Source organism: Homo sapiens, chromosome 6, assembly GCF_000001405.40.
Source record: "Homo sapiens chromosome 6, GRCh38.p14 Primary Assembly".
NCBI lineage: Eukaryota > Metazoa > Chordata > Mammalia > Primates > Hominidae > Homo > Homo sapiens.
The window spans coordinates 17,635,150-17,652,973 of NC_000006.12; the positions used below are offsets into that span (position 1 = coordinate 17,635,150).

The following is a 17,824-nucleotide window of genomic DNA, read 5'->3' on the forward strand; positions in this document are numbered from 1 at the left end:
CCCAGGCTGGAGTGCAGTGGCATGATCTCGGCTCACTGCAAGCTCCACCTCCCAGATTCACACCATTCTCCTGCCTCAGCCTCCCGAGTAGCTGGGACTACAGGCACCCGCCACCACACCCGGCTAATTTTTTGTATTGTTAGTAGAGACAGGGGTTCACTGTGTTAGCCAGGATGGTCTCAATCTCCTGACCTGGTGATCCACTCGCCTCGGCCTCCCAAAGTGCTGGGATTACAGGTGTAAGCCACCGCACCCGGCCTATCATTATTTGAGACAGGGTCTCACTCTGTCACCCAGGCTGAAGCGCAGTAGCATGATCTCAGGTAACTGCAACCTCTACCTCCCGAGCTCAAGCAATCCTCCCACTTTGGCCTCCTAAGTAGCTGGGACTATAGGCGGGTGCCACCAAGCCAGGCTAATTTTTGTGTTTTTTGTAGAGACAGTGCTTCACCATGCTGCTCGGGCTGGTCTTAAACTGGGTTCAAGCAATATACCCGCCTTGGCTTCTCCCAGTGCTGGGATTACAGGCGTGAGCCACAGTGTCTGGCCTATTGCCTATATGATTGATACCACTTCCTAATCTATCTTCCGGTCTCCAAATTTTTTTGTTTTCAAATCCATTATCTAAAAAGCCAGTGACTCATCAAAAATACAAACTTGACTGTATCACTCCTCTGCTGAAAATGATGGTTCATCATTGAAAGGAGGACATCCAAGTTCTTTAATACATATGTGAGCTTCCTTTGTTCATGTGTAACAAATTACTTCCTGACTCAAAGTTTTGTTATTCCCCTTCAACTTAAAATTAATTTTGCTTTCCTGCATACATCAAGGGCTTTCTTTTTGTAGGTGAGCAGGGGAACCAGATGGGAAGACAAAAATATTTCATAATGAAGATTCTAGGCCGGGCATGGTGGCTCACGCCTGTAATCCCAGCACTTTGGAAGGCCAAGGCGGATAGATCACTTGATGTCAGGAGTCCAAGACCAGCCTGGCCAACATGGCGAAACCCTGTCTCTACTAAAAATACAAAAAATTAGTTGGGTGTGGTGGCATGCACCTGTAATTCCAGCTACTTGAGAGGCTGAGGCACAAGAATTGCATGCATCTGGGAGATGGAGGTCTCAGTGAGCCAAGATTGTGCCACTGCACTCCAGCCTGGGTGACACAGTGAGACTCTGTCTCAAAAAAAAAAAAAAAAAGGAATGAAGATTCTAAAATCTTACTCATAGGGAAATATCCAGTAGGAATCAGAAATATGGCATGAGGGCTCAGGCAAAAGGTCTAGGTTAGTAACTCAGAGCTGTACATTACAGACACAAAACTGCATATTCATGAATAATGCATTGAAAACAGTGTAATTCCCAGGATATCCATGTTATCATACATCTGTACCATATAATTATATAATATTACAAAACCATCATCCACTTCTGGATGAGTTAAAGATTCAATATGAATCTTCACTAATTCTTCCAACTTTGAACAGAGAAACAGAAAAAACTCAAAACTAACTCCATGTTTCTGGCTGCCTAGATTAGAATTAGTGATTTGGTAATTTACAATCATTGCAACAGCTACAGCCTTTTCATTAACGACTATAGTCTACCCCCTAAAGAAACCTTCCCTGTAAATGACCACTAGCTATCCTGATTTCTATTTGGAGAAGTAATATTTTACTCTGTACAAAGGTTTGAGAAATATTACCCCATTCTAAGATCTTTCAGAATCTGTATTAGTCAACTTTGAACAAGAAATTTCTGATAAAACTGTACAAAAAGAGGAGGTCGTCATATATACCAGACTAGTTAACACATAACCTATCCTAACTGAACATAAAGATCTAGCTGCAAACAAGACATTTTTACCTCAAGATAGTTTAGAAAAATTAATATGTATGAGAAATGCTCATCCTGAAACATCTAAAACAAGGATTCTTAGAATAAATTAAACTGTTCAACAGAAGTAATAAGCAAAATTACTCCATAAAGCCAAAAACATACCTGGTTTCTCAGACATACAGGACACACACTTATTGTCTTCTGCATTATTAGAAACACAGCATACTGAACACTCCCAAGATCCAATGGGCCTTTTGAATTTATCTCCAAATCCTAAGGTACCAGTGGTTACAGTGCAGCTGGAAGATGAAGCAGTCATAGTCTCAGCACTTTCCGAAACCACTGTCAATGTAAGGGCTCGCTTCACACAAGTTCCAGGTTTCGGTGTTTCACAGGCTACACATTTTATTGCTTCAGGTTTATTTTGCACTAAACAGGTATCACAATCCCAAGTGCCTATCACTGGTTTAAATTTGTCTCCAAAGCCTGTCCCTGATGCAGAAAGAGTTGTTTTGCCACTTTTATTTGGTGTTTCAATTCCAGTCTGTTTAGCAGTATCTCTGGGTGACAATTTTGCTGCTTGACAGGCTATGCATTTGTTGTCTGTAACTTTGTTCTGGAGTAGACATGTATCACACTGCCATGATGACCCAGCTTTTAAACTCTCCCCAAACCCAATTCCACTAGAAGAAAAGCTACTTATTGCTGGTCTTGTATAAACTACTGGGCTTGTTGCGGTGGGCTGAGCAGCAACAGAATCTATCTTCGGCGATGCGAAACCTACAATGAACGAAGGAGAGAGTGCAACGTTAGAGAAGCTTTATAAATCAAAGCATTAATTTGATTATTATTACTGAGAAGACGTTTACCTCACTGCACACTTACTACAATCCAAGATGAACTACTTAAGAATTGTTTTTCACTTAAGTAATCATATTTATCAATTACCTAATAAGTTACACTTAAACCATTTAAAATTCTACAAAAGATGTTTTGTTTACAGGATATCACCTTCTCCTTCAAGGAATTTCTAGTTTGATGCTTTCAATGGTACTAATTTACTGATATGTATTATTGCCATCCACATTTTGCTATATTCTGTCTCTCTACAAACACACAATACTCGCAGTCCTCTTTCTCCTTCATCCATTTCTTCTTTTAAGTGTTCCATTGGCTACACCAAATGGCTTCAATGTCATCTTTGAATTTTGTCCAGTCATAACCTACTGCTGTGGTATTCTCTACCTTCAGTAAAATCAGCTGAGCAAGTCCTTCTGTTACCAAAACTGCTGTCATTGAGTTCATTCACTCAAGCTGTATTTTACTCATGAGAATGACTTTTGTAATTGTTTACTTAGGACCAGTTAACTTTTGTCTTACACACAACACCACCATCTGTGATCTGTTTCTCCAGCCTTACCCGCCAAAGAAAAAGAAATTAAAAGGAGAGAAGATGTAGAAGGTTATTAGAGGTTTTCTAGTTCCACAAAATAATCCAGCCTAGAGCTATTTTTAGCTTAAGGACAAAATACCACATGCTTGAGTTATTCCCAGTGGGCAACGTGTTATTTTGCTTATGATTAATTTAAATCACTAAGATTGGCAAGATATTAACAGTAACCATCTCAAGGCATTACAGATTTCTTTTTCTTCTACTTTTTCAGATTTTCCTAATTTCAGTCAAATGAAGATTCTCCCCAAACATTTCCTATTTAAGAAGTAAAAAGGGAGCAGGGGGAGGTTGGCATCATGAATGCAAAGTGTAACCCCAGATACACAAGACAGACTATACACATTTGAGGCTTGCCTACTACTTGGTTAATTCCAGCACAAGCACTCTGGAGTTCTACCATAACTGCATGGAACTGTCCAAGCTACTGGACTCCTGTAGGCAGTATACTTATCTATAAAATGAGAGAGCTGGACCAGAAAAATTGAATCCTCCTAAATCCTGTTGTAAAAGCCAACCTTATTTTTTAAGAAAACCTATCTTATTACACATGGACACATCTGGTGGGTACGTTTAAATTCTTTCTGAGCTATTAGATTATCTCACAGTTTTACATTCTTTTATTCTTTTTTTCTTTTCCTTTCTTTTTTTTTTAAAGACAGAGTCTTGCTCTGTCGCCCAGGCTGGAGTGCAGTGGTTCGATCTCGGTTCACTGCAACCTCCACCTCCCAGGTTCAAGCAATTCTCCTGCCTCAGCCTCCCGAGTAGCTGGAACTACAGGTGCATGCCAGGACGCCCAGCTAATTTTTTCTCTTTTTAATAGAGATGGGGTTTCGCCATGTTGGCCAGGCTGGTCTTCAACTCCTGGCCTCAAGTGATCTGCCCGTCTTGGCCTCCCAAAGTGCTGGGATTACAAGGGTGAGCCACCGCGCCTGGCAAGTTTTACATTCTTATACTATGTATCATAAATGGAATTATGAACATCCTGTTTTCAAACAAAAAATTATTCTTATCTGAGAACTATTTATCCCCTTTCTAATTATTACCTACTAGCTTTCAAATCTTGCTTCAATTCAAGTGAGTACTGCTCCCTATGTATATGTTACAATTCAGCAGATGCTTTCCACTTGGCCTTGTTCCATATTTACCAAACTGGGGAATAATTCAAGAAGGCAGTTCAGTGCTCTCATAAGAGAAAGACATGTCTATGTGTATCATCAGGTTTACTTACTCTTATTCCTCACTGACCTACCTCTATTAATGGAGAATCCATTTCCTCCTCCTACACTTGCCTATTAGAAATTTCATTTTAGTATAGAGTCCTTTGGCTTGTAAGATATTTCCAGCAAAAGAATTACACCTAACTACATCTCTATTCAAAAGTAAATCTCCTACCAAACTAGTCAGAAATTTTTAAAAGCCTAAAGTATAATACAAAATGACATTAAATTGAGATCATGAGTTTGTAATCAAAAGGCTTATCTTTTAATTATCTTACCAGGGCTTTTCAGAATATCTAGAACACTTCCTTCTTTCAGGATTTCTGCAGGTCTAAAAGGACCCTCACAATCTTCAGGTGGTGTCTTCTTACAATTTGTACTGTTCACTGTAGTGACATGATGAGCTGTAATTTTTTTAAATTTAATAACATTATGCCAAATAAAACACTGGACTCTCAAATGCATTTTTAAAAATCTTTCAAAACCATCTTTTGGATTAATTTCTAAAAGTTCATGAAAAAAGTCACTTTAATTCAATAAACAAATGACTTTACAGGGATAATTTGCCATTACAAGGAGATAAAAACACTATTCCCATACTATATAACTTCCCCCACCAATAAAAAGGCAAAAAAATATAAACTATAATTATCGTCCAATTAACTGACTGATAATCAAAACAATCAAACTAAAAAACTGGAGAGGATATGGCAACTAGGGCAAGCCCATCCACTGCATGAAATATCTGATTACACAACAATTTACAAAACTAATCAAAAAAAGTAATTTTCAACTGAGCAATTATTTCATTTTTAGAAATTCACACTATTAATATAATTGAAAATATCCTTCAGTTATAATATTGAAAACCTATATGGTAAAATATTAAATAAGGGTATATGGTTACATAAATTACATAACAGTGACATGATGAAATACTTATGCAGCCACAGAAATCATTCTTTTTCAAAACAGAGAGTGAGTGTCTTGTTGTCAGCAAGGCCGGAGTACAGTGGTGCAATCATAGCTTAATGCATCCTCAAACTCCTGGGCTTAAGCAATCCTCCCACCTTAGCCTCTCAAGTAGCCAGGAACACAGGCGCATGCCACCACATCTAGCTCATTTTTTTTTTTACTTTTTTGTAGACATGGGGTCTCACTATGGCTGGCCAGACTGGTCTTAAACTCCTGGCCTCAGGTGATCCTCCCACATCGGCCTCCCAAAGCACTGGCATTACTGGCATGAGTCATCATGCCTGGCCCACAAAAATCATTCTTAAAAGTGTAGTTATGGGTAAAAGCAGGTTGAAAAGTCTAGAATGTTTACATCTAAAGAGTAATGGTAGCTGCTAGCAGTAAGATGAGTGACTTACTGCTTTTACTTTTTATGCTTTCTAAACTTGCATCCTTGTATTTAGAGATCTACATTTTCAGTGTGATAATGGTTTTATCGTTATATTTTTAAGGGGCGATTTCTATTTACAGATAAAACTAAGATGTTTGGGATTGTTGAAGAGTGACCTGACATGTAAGTTTCTGTGTGGGATGGGGAGAGGAGGGATGGAACAAAAGAAACAATAAGAAACAAGATGCGGCCAGGCACGGGGGCCCGTGCCTGTAATCCCAAGGACTTTGGGAGGCCAAGGCGGGCAGATCACGAGGTCAAGAGATGGAGACCATCCCGGCCAACATAGTGAAACCCCATCTCCACTAAAAATACAAAAAGTAGCTGGGTGTGGTGGTACACACCTGTAGTCTCAGCTACTCAGGAGGCTGAGGCAGGAGAATTGCTTGAACCTGGGAGGCGGAGGTTGCAGTGAGCCAAGATCGTGCCACTGTACTCCAGCCTGGTGACAGAGCGAGACTCCGTCTCAAAAACAAAACAAAACAAACAAACAAACAAACAAAAAGGCCAGGCAGCGGTGGCTCACGCCTGTAATCCCAGCATTCTGGGAGGCTGAGGCAGGCAGATCACGAGGTCAGGAGATCGAGACCACCCAGGCTAACATGGTGAAACCCCGTTTCTACTAAAAATACAAAACAAATTAGCCGGGCGTGGTGGCAGGCGCCTGTAGTCCCAGCTGCTCAGGAGGCTGAGGCAAAATGGAGTGAACCTGAGAGGTGGAGCTTGCAGTGAAACGAGCTTGCACAACTGCACTCCAGGTTGGGAGACAGAGCGAGACTGTCTCAGAAAAAAAGAAGAAAGAAAAAGAAACAAGATGGGTCAAAATGGTAAAAGTTGAAGCTGGCTAAATAGTATATGGGGATTCAGTCTACAATTCTACTTCTGAGAATCAAGTTTTCCATAATGAAATATACTAATAACCAAGTTTTTCTTTTTAAGTGTTTGCCAATTTAAAAAGTAGTAGGTAAAGTACTTTTGAAAAAAACCTTTCCCTACCTCACACAATAAACAAAAATTCAAAATGGATCAATATCCTAAATATGACATAAACACCATAAAACTCTTAGAAGAAAACCTAGGGAGTATAGCTTCAAGACCATGGATTTGGCAATGTATTCTTAGATATGACACGAAAAGCACAGCAACAGAAGAAAAAAATGGACTTCATCAAAATTAAATACCTCTGTCCATTCAAGGAAATTATCAAGAAAGTGAAAAGACAATCTATAAATGGGAAAAAATATCTGCAAATCACGTATCTGGTAAGGGTCTAGTGTCCAGACTAAGAACTCTTATAACTCAGTAACAAAAAGACAAACTGTTCAATGGGTAAAGGACGTGAAAGGCATTCCTCCCTAAGATATTTAAATGGACAATAAGCACCTGAAAAAAATGCAACATCATTTGCATTAGGGAAATGCAAATCAAAACTACAACAAAGTATTACTTTACATCCACTAGGATTGCTATAGTCAAAAAAGAGAAAATACTAAGTGTTGGTGAAGTTGTATACTGCTAATGGTAATGTGACATGGTTCAACTACTGTGGAAAACAGTTTAGTGATTCTTCAAAAAGTTTAATACAGAACTACCATCTGACCCATCAATTCCATTCCTAGGCACATATGAAAAAGCATTGAAACCAGTACTCAAACAAATACACATACACATATGTTCACAGCAGCACTATTCACAATAGCCAAATGGTGGAAACAGCCCAAATGTCCATTAATGGATGAACAAAAATAAACTGTGGCACATCAATACAATGGAATATTATTCAGCCATAAAAGGAATGAAGTATTGAGACATAAGAACCTTGAAACCACTGTGCTAAGTGAAAGAACTCAGCTGTACGAAGCCACATTGTATGATTCTACTTACATGACATATTCAGAATAAGTCAATCCATAGAGACAGAACACAAGTTGACAGTTAGCTAGGGGGAAGGCAGAATGGGGAGCAACTTTTTAATGGACAGGGGTTTCCTGGTGAGGGTGATAAATGTTTTGGAACTAGATAAAAAGTGGTGGCTGCACAACGCTGTCAAGGTACTAAAGGCCACTGAATTATTCCCTTTAAAATGGCTGTATCATGTCAACTTCATCACAATAACAAAAATATAGGCTGGACGCGGTGGCTCACACCTGTAATCCCAGCACTCTGAGACGCCTAGGCGGCCAGATCACCTGAGGTCAGGAGTTCAAGACCAGCCTGGCAACATGACGAAACCCCTTCTCTACTAAAAATACAAAAATTAGCCAGGCATGGTGGCAGGTGCCTGTAATCACAGCTACTCGGGAGGCTGAGGCACAAGAATCGCCTGAACCCAGGAGACGGAGGTTGCGGTGAGCTGAGATTGTGCAACTGCACTCCAGCCTGGGTGACAGAATGTGCAACACCCACCCCCAACCATCCCCACCAAAAATAACCACCACTCGTACAACTATGCCAAAACAAACTTATAATTTAATCACGTTCTATCTTCCTTTATAATGAAAGTTAAATTGCTTTTAGTAATTTACGGTAAAATGTTAGGATTCCCTAAAGTATGCTCAAAAAGAGGGGAAAAGGAGACAATGGAAAACTTAGCTCCTGTCACAAAGTAATCATGACTTCCACATTTTCAATTAGCTTTTTTAAATGATAGAAGTGGTGAGAACCAACGGTGTCAAAGTGAGAACACACAACTCTAAATAGGCCACTCATAATCGACTCCTTAAAAATCTGGGTAACTTCCTGAGATATAATGAAACAAAGTTGTTGTAACAAATTGTTAATTATTCAGTTATCATTAGTAAAGCATTAGCAAATAGTGGGAAACATTTTAATGCCTTTCCTCATAATAAGTCATGAAATTGGTAATTTGAAGAAATTTAATCCTCTTGAATTAATAGTTAACATTAAAGAAAAAAAACTTTTGTGACAGGAAACACAATGGAAATTCCTTATTAATTTCTATTACGTAAGGCTGTGTTAGCCAATTAAAAAAAAAAGATAAGGTTGCAAACATACCAGTCAAATTCTTAGTTTGGGCCACTTCCATAATCTGGCCTCTTATCTTCAAGACCATTCAAAGCCAAAGATATTTCTTTAGCTTCTATGTCCTGACTCTTTTTATTTTTTAATCTATCTTTTGAGGATCTAGTTTTTAAAAATTCCCAAACTCAGAAGATCATTGAAGAAACGCTTTTCGATAAGGTAATATCTCCCAACTCATGTTTCTGCCTCTAACATGCCACTCCAACCCACACTAGCACTCACCACACTGCTATCACTATACTCACATCCATCTCACCCCCAAGTAAAAATCATTCAACATCTCCCTAATGCAGTCAGAATAAAATCCAATTCATTAGCATAGCATTCCAGAACTTTTAGGATTTAAAGCTACCTCTCCAACCTCATGACAAATTGTTTGCAATTCTAAAGCGTGTCATGCTTTTTCTCTTGTTCCTGTGCCCTTGAGCTTTGTGTTTATATTTCTTGGGTAAAATGCCCTTGCTCAAAATTCTTGACCTGAGTAACTCAGCTCAGGTGTTTCTGATTTTCCCAAACACTTAAAAGAAAACCACCATTATAAAAAAACAAATTCGGCCAGGCACAGTGGCTCACGTCTGTAATCCCAATACTTTGGGAGGCCAAGGTGGGCAGATCACCTGAGGACAGGAGTTCCTGACCAGCCTGGCCAAACGTGGTGAAACACCTCTCTACTAAAAATACAAAAAATTAGCCAGGGGCAGGGCGCGGTGGTTCACGCCTGTAATCCCAGCACTTTGGGAGGCCGAGGCAGGCAGATCACGAGGTTAGGAGATCGAGACCATCCGAGCTAACATGTTGAAACCCTGTCTCTATTAAAAATACAAAAAAATTAGCCAGGCGTGGTGGCAGGCGCCTGTGGTGCCAGCTACTCGGGAGGTTGAGGAGGAGAATGGCATGAACCTGGGAGGCGGAGGTTGCAGTGAGCCAAGATTACGCCACTGTACTCCAACCTGGGGGACACAACAAGGCTCCGTCTCACAATTAAAAGAAAAAAAAAGTAGCCAGCAGGGTGGCAGGCACCTGTAATCCAAGCTACTGGCAGGAGAAATCGTTTGAATTCGGGAGGCAGAGGTTGCAGTGAGCCAAGACCGTGCCATTGCACTCCAGCCTGGGCAACAGAGCGAGACTCTGTCTCAAAAAAAAAAAAAAAAAAGAATTCTATGTTTTAATTCTCTGATTATTCATTCATTTCTTTCTTTTTTTTTGAGATAGGGTCTTGCTCTGTCAGCCAGCTGTAGTGTGGTAGTGCAATCATAGCTCACTGTAGCCTTGAATTCCTGGGCTCAAGCAATCCTCCCACTTCAGCATCCCAGGTAGCTGGGACTACAGGCTCACACCACCACCTGGTTATTTCTTTTTCTTTTTTTTTTTTTTTCGGTAGGGATGAGTCTCACTGTGCTGCCTAGGATCGTCTTGAGCTTCTGGCCTCAAGCAATCCTCCCACCACAGCCTCCCAAACTGCTGGGTTTACAGGAATGACCCATGGCCTCCTTCCTTCAATGATGCTGATTTCTTCGGTTCAGAAATTATGTATCACAATCTACATGGGCCTGCATAACCTTTATACATAAAAATGCTTGTGAACTGAAAGGTAAAAACTAGAAATAAAATCTACTACAACTATAATGTAGACAACCTATAAATTTCTTATAATGAGACTTGCTTTATAACTAACTTGTCACCTTGTTTTGACTAAACAAAGATAGTGGATAAATTTGCTACCATGCCTATCTCTCTCAAAACCAAACTGACACTTCCATTTAAGGAGCTAAGTATCTCTAAAGATAATTAATAAAAAGCACCGTCAAAAAGGTTAAATAATAGTGCCTGCTTGCTTTTCAGAGCTAATTTCATCCAAATGAAGGCATTTATAAGAATTACCAAAGGTGAAAGAAGCTGAAATACTAATCTACTGTATGCAATTGTTTGTATGTTAAAATGTAAGAAATTTTTACTTACCTGAACTACTTATAATTGGTTCTAAAGTACTACTAGAACCAGAAAGTTCTGCTGTTTTTGCAACAGGCACACTAAATGTAAATCCAATCTGTAAAGAGAAAGAATATCCTTATACTTCGTTTTCAATAAGTATCAAATATAGAGCTTTTTTATTCCCCCGAGACGGAGTCTTACTCTGTCGCCCAGGCTGGAGTGCAGTGGCGCAATCCTGGCTCACTGCAACCTCCGCCTCCCGGGTTCACGCCATTCTCCTGCCTCGGCCTCCCGAGCAGCTGGGACTACAGGAACTCGCCACCACACCCGGCTAATTTTTTGTATTTTAGTAGAGATGGGGTTTCACTGTGTTAGCCAGGATGGTCTCGATCTACTGACCTTGTGATCCGCCCGCCTCGGCCTCCCAAAGTGCTGGGATTACAGGCGTGAGCCACCGCGCCTGGCCCAAATATAGAGGTTATTTTTATCCCAAGTCAAAAACATACTTTCACCTATTTTAAGATATAGTTTATAATATTTCACTATCTCTAAAAGTGAGATTCTTATATTGAATGGCAATGTCACAGTTTAACAGGCAGCATTTTAAATTTCTCAGGCACTTTTTCTTTCAAAACAGTATATAAAATAATGATGGTGTGTTCCTAATGCCCAGTTCCAATTTCTGAATGCCATTTTCTTTCCTTTTTTTTTTGTTTTGAGGTGGAGTTTCACTCTTGTTGCCTGAGCTGGAGTGCAACGGCACAATCTCGGCTCACTGCAACCTCTACCTCCCAGGTTCAAACAATTCTCCTGTCTCAGCCTCCTGAGTAGTTGGGATTATAGGCGTGCACCACCATGCCTGGCTAATTCTGTATTTTCTTTTTTTTTTTTTTTTTTAGTAGAGACGAGGTTCCACTATGTTGGTCAGGCTGGTCTCGAACTCTTGACCTCAAGTGATCCACCTGCCTCGGCCTCCCAAAGTGCTGGGATTACAGGCATGAGCCACCGTGCCCGGCCTCAAATGCCATTTTCTAATAAAAAGTATGACACTTCTGGGGCAACTGATGGATTTCAGCATGTGGCAAGGAAATTACATTTGATCTGTAACATCTACTTGTGTCAGAAGACAAGGACACAGTCAAAACTAGAAAATGACATATTAAAATAATATAAACATGCCAAATCTGGGGCAATTTGAATATTAAACTACGTGTTATTCTTACCCCAAACATTCACTTTTCAATCATGAAAGAAAAAAATGCCCAGAACTTTTCTAGATTAAAGGTAAATCAAGACACATGTTTTAACTAAATGCAATATCATGTAGTTGATTAGGTCCTAGTCTTTAATTGGCTCTAGGACCAACAGAAATAAAACAGCAATTAAAGGACAGTCTGGGGATAATGGGGAAATCTGAATATGGACCATGTCGTTATTATATCATGTCAAATTTCTTGGGTATGATAGCTGTATTGTGGGGATGCAAAGGAATGTCTTTTTTCTTAAGGGACACATGGAGAAGAATTAAGGAAATCCAGTTGTTTGCATTTTAACTTTCAAATGGTACAGAAGAAAATGAATATGCATACATATGTACATTATGTAGTGAAGAATACATGATTGTTCAAAAGTTTTTTACACAGAGTATTTTTTAAGTTGGAAGAAAAATAACAGTGTTTCTCACCACCAGTGGCATCTTAGATTTGATAAAAATATAACATGGCTTTGAAATCAGTAAATATATACTATTCCTTGCTTGTTACTTACAGATGATGGAGGTAGTACATTTGCCTCAGTAGATTTTACGATTGGAGATGAAAATTTAAACATGGGACTGCCAGTGCTGCTCGGAGAGGTCATTTGTACCTGGTTTTCCAAATTATTAAGAAATGATACAAAAAGAGCTTTTTAGAAAAATAAAGTGACAAAAAAGACATTAAGCAAACTGATTATTCCAAAGACACTAAGTATTTTTTCCTTTTAAATTTAAAAATCTCACTTTAAATTCTGAAAAACACAGAACTGTGTTATAAAATGTGGCTTCCTCTAAGGAGTACACACAATCTTAGAGGTGGATATTTGTATAAAAAAGTAAAGTAACATCTATAAGAATATGTTCAGAAGAAGTGAAAGCAAGAAAGCAAGTATTAAAATTTCAGGAGCAGGCCAGGTACAGTGCCTCACACCTGTGATCCCAGCACTTTGGGAAGCCATGACAGAGGGAATTGCTTGAACGCAAGATTTCAAGACCAGCCTGGGTAACACAGCAAGACCTCACCCATAAAAATATTTTTTGGCCAGGAGTGGGGGCTCACGCTTGTAATCCTAGCACTTTGGGAGGCCAAGGCAGGCGGATCACCTGAAGTCAGGAGTTCAAGATCAGCCTAACCAACATGGTGAAACCCTGTCTCTACTAAAAATACAAAAATTAGCCGGGCATGGTGGTGCGCACCTGTAATCCCAGCTACTCAGGAGGCTGAGGCAGGATAACCACTTGAACCCGGGAGGTGGAGGTTGCAGTGAGCCAAGATCGTGCCACTGCACTCCAGCCTGGGTGACAGGGCGAGACTCAAGCTGAAAAAATAAATAAATATTTAAAAAAAAATTTTTTTAATTAGCTGGGTGTGGTGGTGTACACCTGTAGTCCCAGCTACTCAGGAGGCTGAGGTGGGAGGATCACTTGAGCCCAGGAGATGGAAGCTGCAATGAGCTGTGATTGCACCACTGCTCTCTAGCCTCGGCAATACAGCGAGACACCATCTCAAAAAAAAAAAAATTCAGGAGCACATTAAAAGATGTTACGCCTAGCTGAGAAGTAAAAACATGAAACATTGAGTGCACTCCTACCCAAAAAGCATCTTACTGGAAACATTATTTGGAAACAAATTTACAAGAATATCCTTCTCTATGGTATTGCATAAGAGTTGAGGAACACTCCATTATAATGTATCCAAGATATTTGTACATTTTTTTAAAAAAGCAAAACAGCATTTCCATTTCTCTGTTTACTATGTTATTAATTTCCATAATGAAAATTAAACACTGTTTATAATATAGGGTTTTTTTTAAATAAAGAATTAAGAAAGAACAAATGTCACCTGTATTTATATAATGGTTTTGTACCTTGTTTGTTAATGCTTGAGACGAATTGATGGGTGATGGAGAGGAAGTTGTGATCTCAGGGGAACTAAAATTAAAGGTAGGCAGTGAAGAACTGGTGATCGGTAGAGAGATTTTCGGTAATACTGGAACTTCCATTTCCTAAAACATAACATGTTGCATGATATATTTCATCTTTCACATCATTCTTTTATCTCTACTTATTTTCAGCATGAAAGTATACAGGAAGAAGATGGTACCATGTAGTGTTAACATTATGGGTTCTTCAATCAGAAAAACTGAACATGATTTTTAATCCCAGCTGTGCCACCAACCAGCCATTTGACTTGGGGAACCTAACTGCCTTCTGTACCAATTTCCTAATTGGTAAAACTGAGGGAAAAAAGATAGTAATTCTTACGATATACTACAGTTGTACTAATATGAAACATAAAGTTATATATAGTAGCCTACCTTATCCATGGTTTCAATTTCCAGTTTCCCTGACCCATGGTCAACCATGATCCAAAGATATTATATACAATAAGATATTTTGAGAGAGAAAGAGACTACATTCATATAACCTTTATTACATTATAGTGTTATAATTGTTCTATTTTATTGTTGTTGTTAATCTCTGACTGTGCCTACTTATAAATTAAATTTCATCATAGATATGTATGTATAAGAAAAAACACAGTATATACAGGGTTCAATATTATCTGCAGTTTCAGGTATGACCTGGGATTCTTGGAACATATCCCTTGCAGATAAGGGGGTGAGGGGGAGCATTATATGGTCTTGGCATGTGAAACAAGCATTTAGTAACTGTCAGTACTGAGGAGTCTGGAGAGCCACTTTGATTTTTAACCCAACTGAACAAAGAGCACCCTAAGTCTCCAATGATCCCTAGATAAAGAACAAACAAAATGAGTTCCACTTGTGCTAAACGCAGAGTAGCTTCTACCTGATAAACGTTTAGATATATGATAAACTCTGGAAAAAAGTATAAAGAAACAATCATCTGAAGGCACAAGAGCAACCAAAAGCAAGAAGAAACTGGATGGGAGAGGACACTTGGAAAATGGGAAGGGCACTGAGTAAGCTTCCTGTTCTCTTCATGAGTTGCTGCCACTGAATACCTGAAGTTCTGAGAGAAAACAGCAAACGTGTTAACTGAACAATCAGCCAGAAAAGGAGGTGAGATGCAGAAATGAAGAGCCACAGAAAGGGAACCTCAAAGTCTACATATAAGCCACCCGAATCTCTGGTGGACCTGTAAACTACACAGCTGTAAGGCAGACTCCAAGCTGCCAAAGAAAACTAAAAAGTTTCAGCTGCTGCCTACCACAGGGGAGACAGAATGAGTTCAGAGAAGTCCATTGCCAGCTAAAATAATTTGAATACTTCAAATGGATGCAGTTTATTGCAAATAAATCACAGCTCAATAAAATTGATCCAAAAGCCCAAAGCAAAATAAAGGCACTTCCAGATAAAACAAAGAATCTACTTCTATAAAACCTGCTCTACAAGTTCTTCATGCTGAAAGGAAATGTTACCAAATGAAAATTCAGATTTCAGAAAGACATGAGGAATATGTGAGCAAACAAAAACTTTTTTCTCTTAATTTCCTTAAAATATATTTAACTATATAAAGCAAAAAGTACACATTGAATTTACAGCCTCTCCAGATGTAATACAAGTAAGTACAGCATAAATGCCAGGGAAGACAGGTAGTAAATCTAACTACACAGCTGCAATCTTGTTATTTTTACAGGATGTGGTATGAAAGTAACATAAAGTAATCTGAAAAACATTATGGAAGACACAGAAATCCCAAGAGAAACCACTAAATAGTGCAAAAGAGGGAGAGTTAAAAATCTAACAAATAAATTAAAATGACTTGTAATCCTAGCACTTTGGGAGGCCAAGGCAGGACAGCTTGAGGCCAAGAGTTCGAGACCAGTCTGGGCAACACAGCAAGACCCCGTCTCTATAAAAACTAAACAAACAAAAAACTAGCCAGGTGCAGTGGCATGCCTGTAGTCCCAGTACCTGGGAGGCTGAGGTGGGAGAATGGCCTGAGTCCAGGAGTTCGAGGCTGTAGTGGGCCATGACTGTGCCACTGCACTCCATCCTGGGTGACAGCAAGAACCCATCTCAAAAAACAAAAACAAAACCAATAAAAACAGAATTATAATAATAAATATTAAATAATTAAATAATAAATATTCCCTTAACCCCCAAATGGCAGCTTTCAAAAGGAACAACAGAAAACAGTGGATGAATGATAGCCCTCATTCCAACCATATCAAAAATTATATTAACTATAAATGGATTTGGTGTTCCAATTAAAACACAGAAAATGGACAGAAAGGCAAAACTCAGTTATATGTTGTTTACCTGAGACCTACTTTAAATATAAACATGGACAGGCTCAAAGTATATGAATGGAAAAAGATATGCCCTGAAACTACTAAGCATAAGAAGGCTTATTCCAGTAAGAGTGGCTGTATTAATACCAAAGTAGATTTCAAGACAAAAAATATTTCCAAAAGTTTTTTTTAAAAGGACACTTAATAATATTAAAAGGACAAATCACTATGGAGCCATAGAATAAATGTAAAGTGTATGCTCTCATGAGGGCCTCAAAATCCATGAAACAAAAATTGAGGTTAGGCATGGTAGCACATACCTGTAATCTCAGCACTTTGAGAGGCCAAGATGGGATGATCGCTTGAGCGCAGGAGCTCGAGATCAGCTTGGGCAATACGGTGAGACCTTGTCTCTACAAATAATTTTAAAAATTGGCGAGGTATGATGGCACATGCCTGTGGTCCCAGCTACTTGGGAGGCTCAGGTGGCCACGCCACTGCACTCCAGCCTGGGTGACAGAGTGACATCTCATCTCAAAAATAAATAAATAAATAAATAACCAAGGGGATAAGACAAATTCACCAAATAAAAGTTGGCAATTTTAACCCCCATCTCTCAATAATTTAACAGGCTAACCATACCCTCCCTCCCCATGAAAAATGAATAAGAACAAAGATCTAATACTATCAGCTTACTTCTACAGATCACTATACCCAACAACTACAGAATATATTTTCTTTAAGAATTATCAAGCAGACCATACAGTGAACTATAAAACAAGTCTCAATACATTTCAAAACACTGAAGTCATAATCTCAATCTTTTTCTAATCACAATGAAATTATATTAGAAATCAATACCCTCCCCCCCAAATATTAGGAAATTCAATACATTTCTAAATAATCCATGGGTCAAATACAAAAATCAAAAGAAATTAGAAAAACTATAAAAGCAAAATTACAATGCTTCTAGAAGCAAGCACAGGAAACTATCTTTGTAGCCCGGGGATAGGCAAAATTTTCTTAGGACACAAAGAAGAATAAAAATATTAGAAAAAAAAATCCAGTCTTCATAAAATTTAGAACATCTGCCAATCAAAAGATATCATTAAGAAAATGAGTAGGCAAGCAACACTGGGAAAAAAATATTTGTTAAGAAATGTATCTGACAAAGTACCTAGGTCCAAAATTTATAAAGACCTCCTAAAACTCAGTAAGAAGACAGCTGGCTGGGTGCGGTGGCTCATGGCCTGTAATCCCAGCACTCTGGGAGGCCAAGGCAGGTGGATCACCTAAGGTCAGGAGTTCGAGACCAGCCTGACCAACATGGTGAAACCCATCTCTACTAAAAATACAAAAAAAAAAATTAGCTGGGCGTGGTGGCGCACACCTGTAATCCCAGCTACTAGGGAGACTGAGGTAGGAGAATCACTTGAACCCACGAGGCGGAGGTTGCAGTG

The 17,824-nt window shown here is 39.0% G+C and overlaps 1 protein-coding gene across 3 annotated transcripts in view, besides 1 other annotated feature; it reads right to left on the bottom strand.

Annotated features, from left to right (window-relative positions):
• The window catches only part of NUP153 (nucleoporin 153), a 91,889-nt gene that overhangs the window by 20,113 nt on the left and 53,952 nt on the right, over window positions 1-17,824 (bottom strand). Inside the window, exons 12-17 of one of the 3 annotated variants that reach the window (NM_001278209.2) lie at window positions 16,685-16,777; window positions 14,014-14,151; window positions 12,658-12,756; window positions 10,918-11,005; window positions 4,790-4,915; window positions 2,004-2,621 (exon numbers count right to left, since the gene is read on the bottom strand). In NM_001278209.2, the coding sequence (NP_001265138.1) occupies window positions 2,004-2,621; window positions 4,790-4,915; window positions 10,918-11,005; window positions 12,658-12,756; window positions 14,014-14,151; window positions 16,685-16,777 (1,162 nt within the window). The remainder of the gene's footprint in view (window positions 1-2,003; window positions 2,622-4,789; window positions 4,916-10,917; window positions 11,006-12,657; window positions 12,757-14,013; window positions 14,152-16,684; window positions 16,778-17,824) is intronic. The other 2 variants (NM_005124.4, NM_001278210.2) reach the window with 2 other exon arrangements.
• Window positions 3,595-3,795: a silencer, noted in NCBI's record as "peak5706 fragment used in MPRA reporter construct". NCBI's record gives its function as "represses an SCP1 promoter by STARR-seq MPRAs in K562 erythroleukemia cells {active_cell/tissue: K562}" and the evidence as "EXISTENCE:reporter gene assay evidence [ECO:0000049][PMID:32103011]".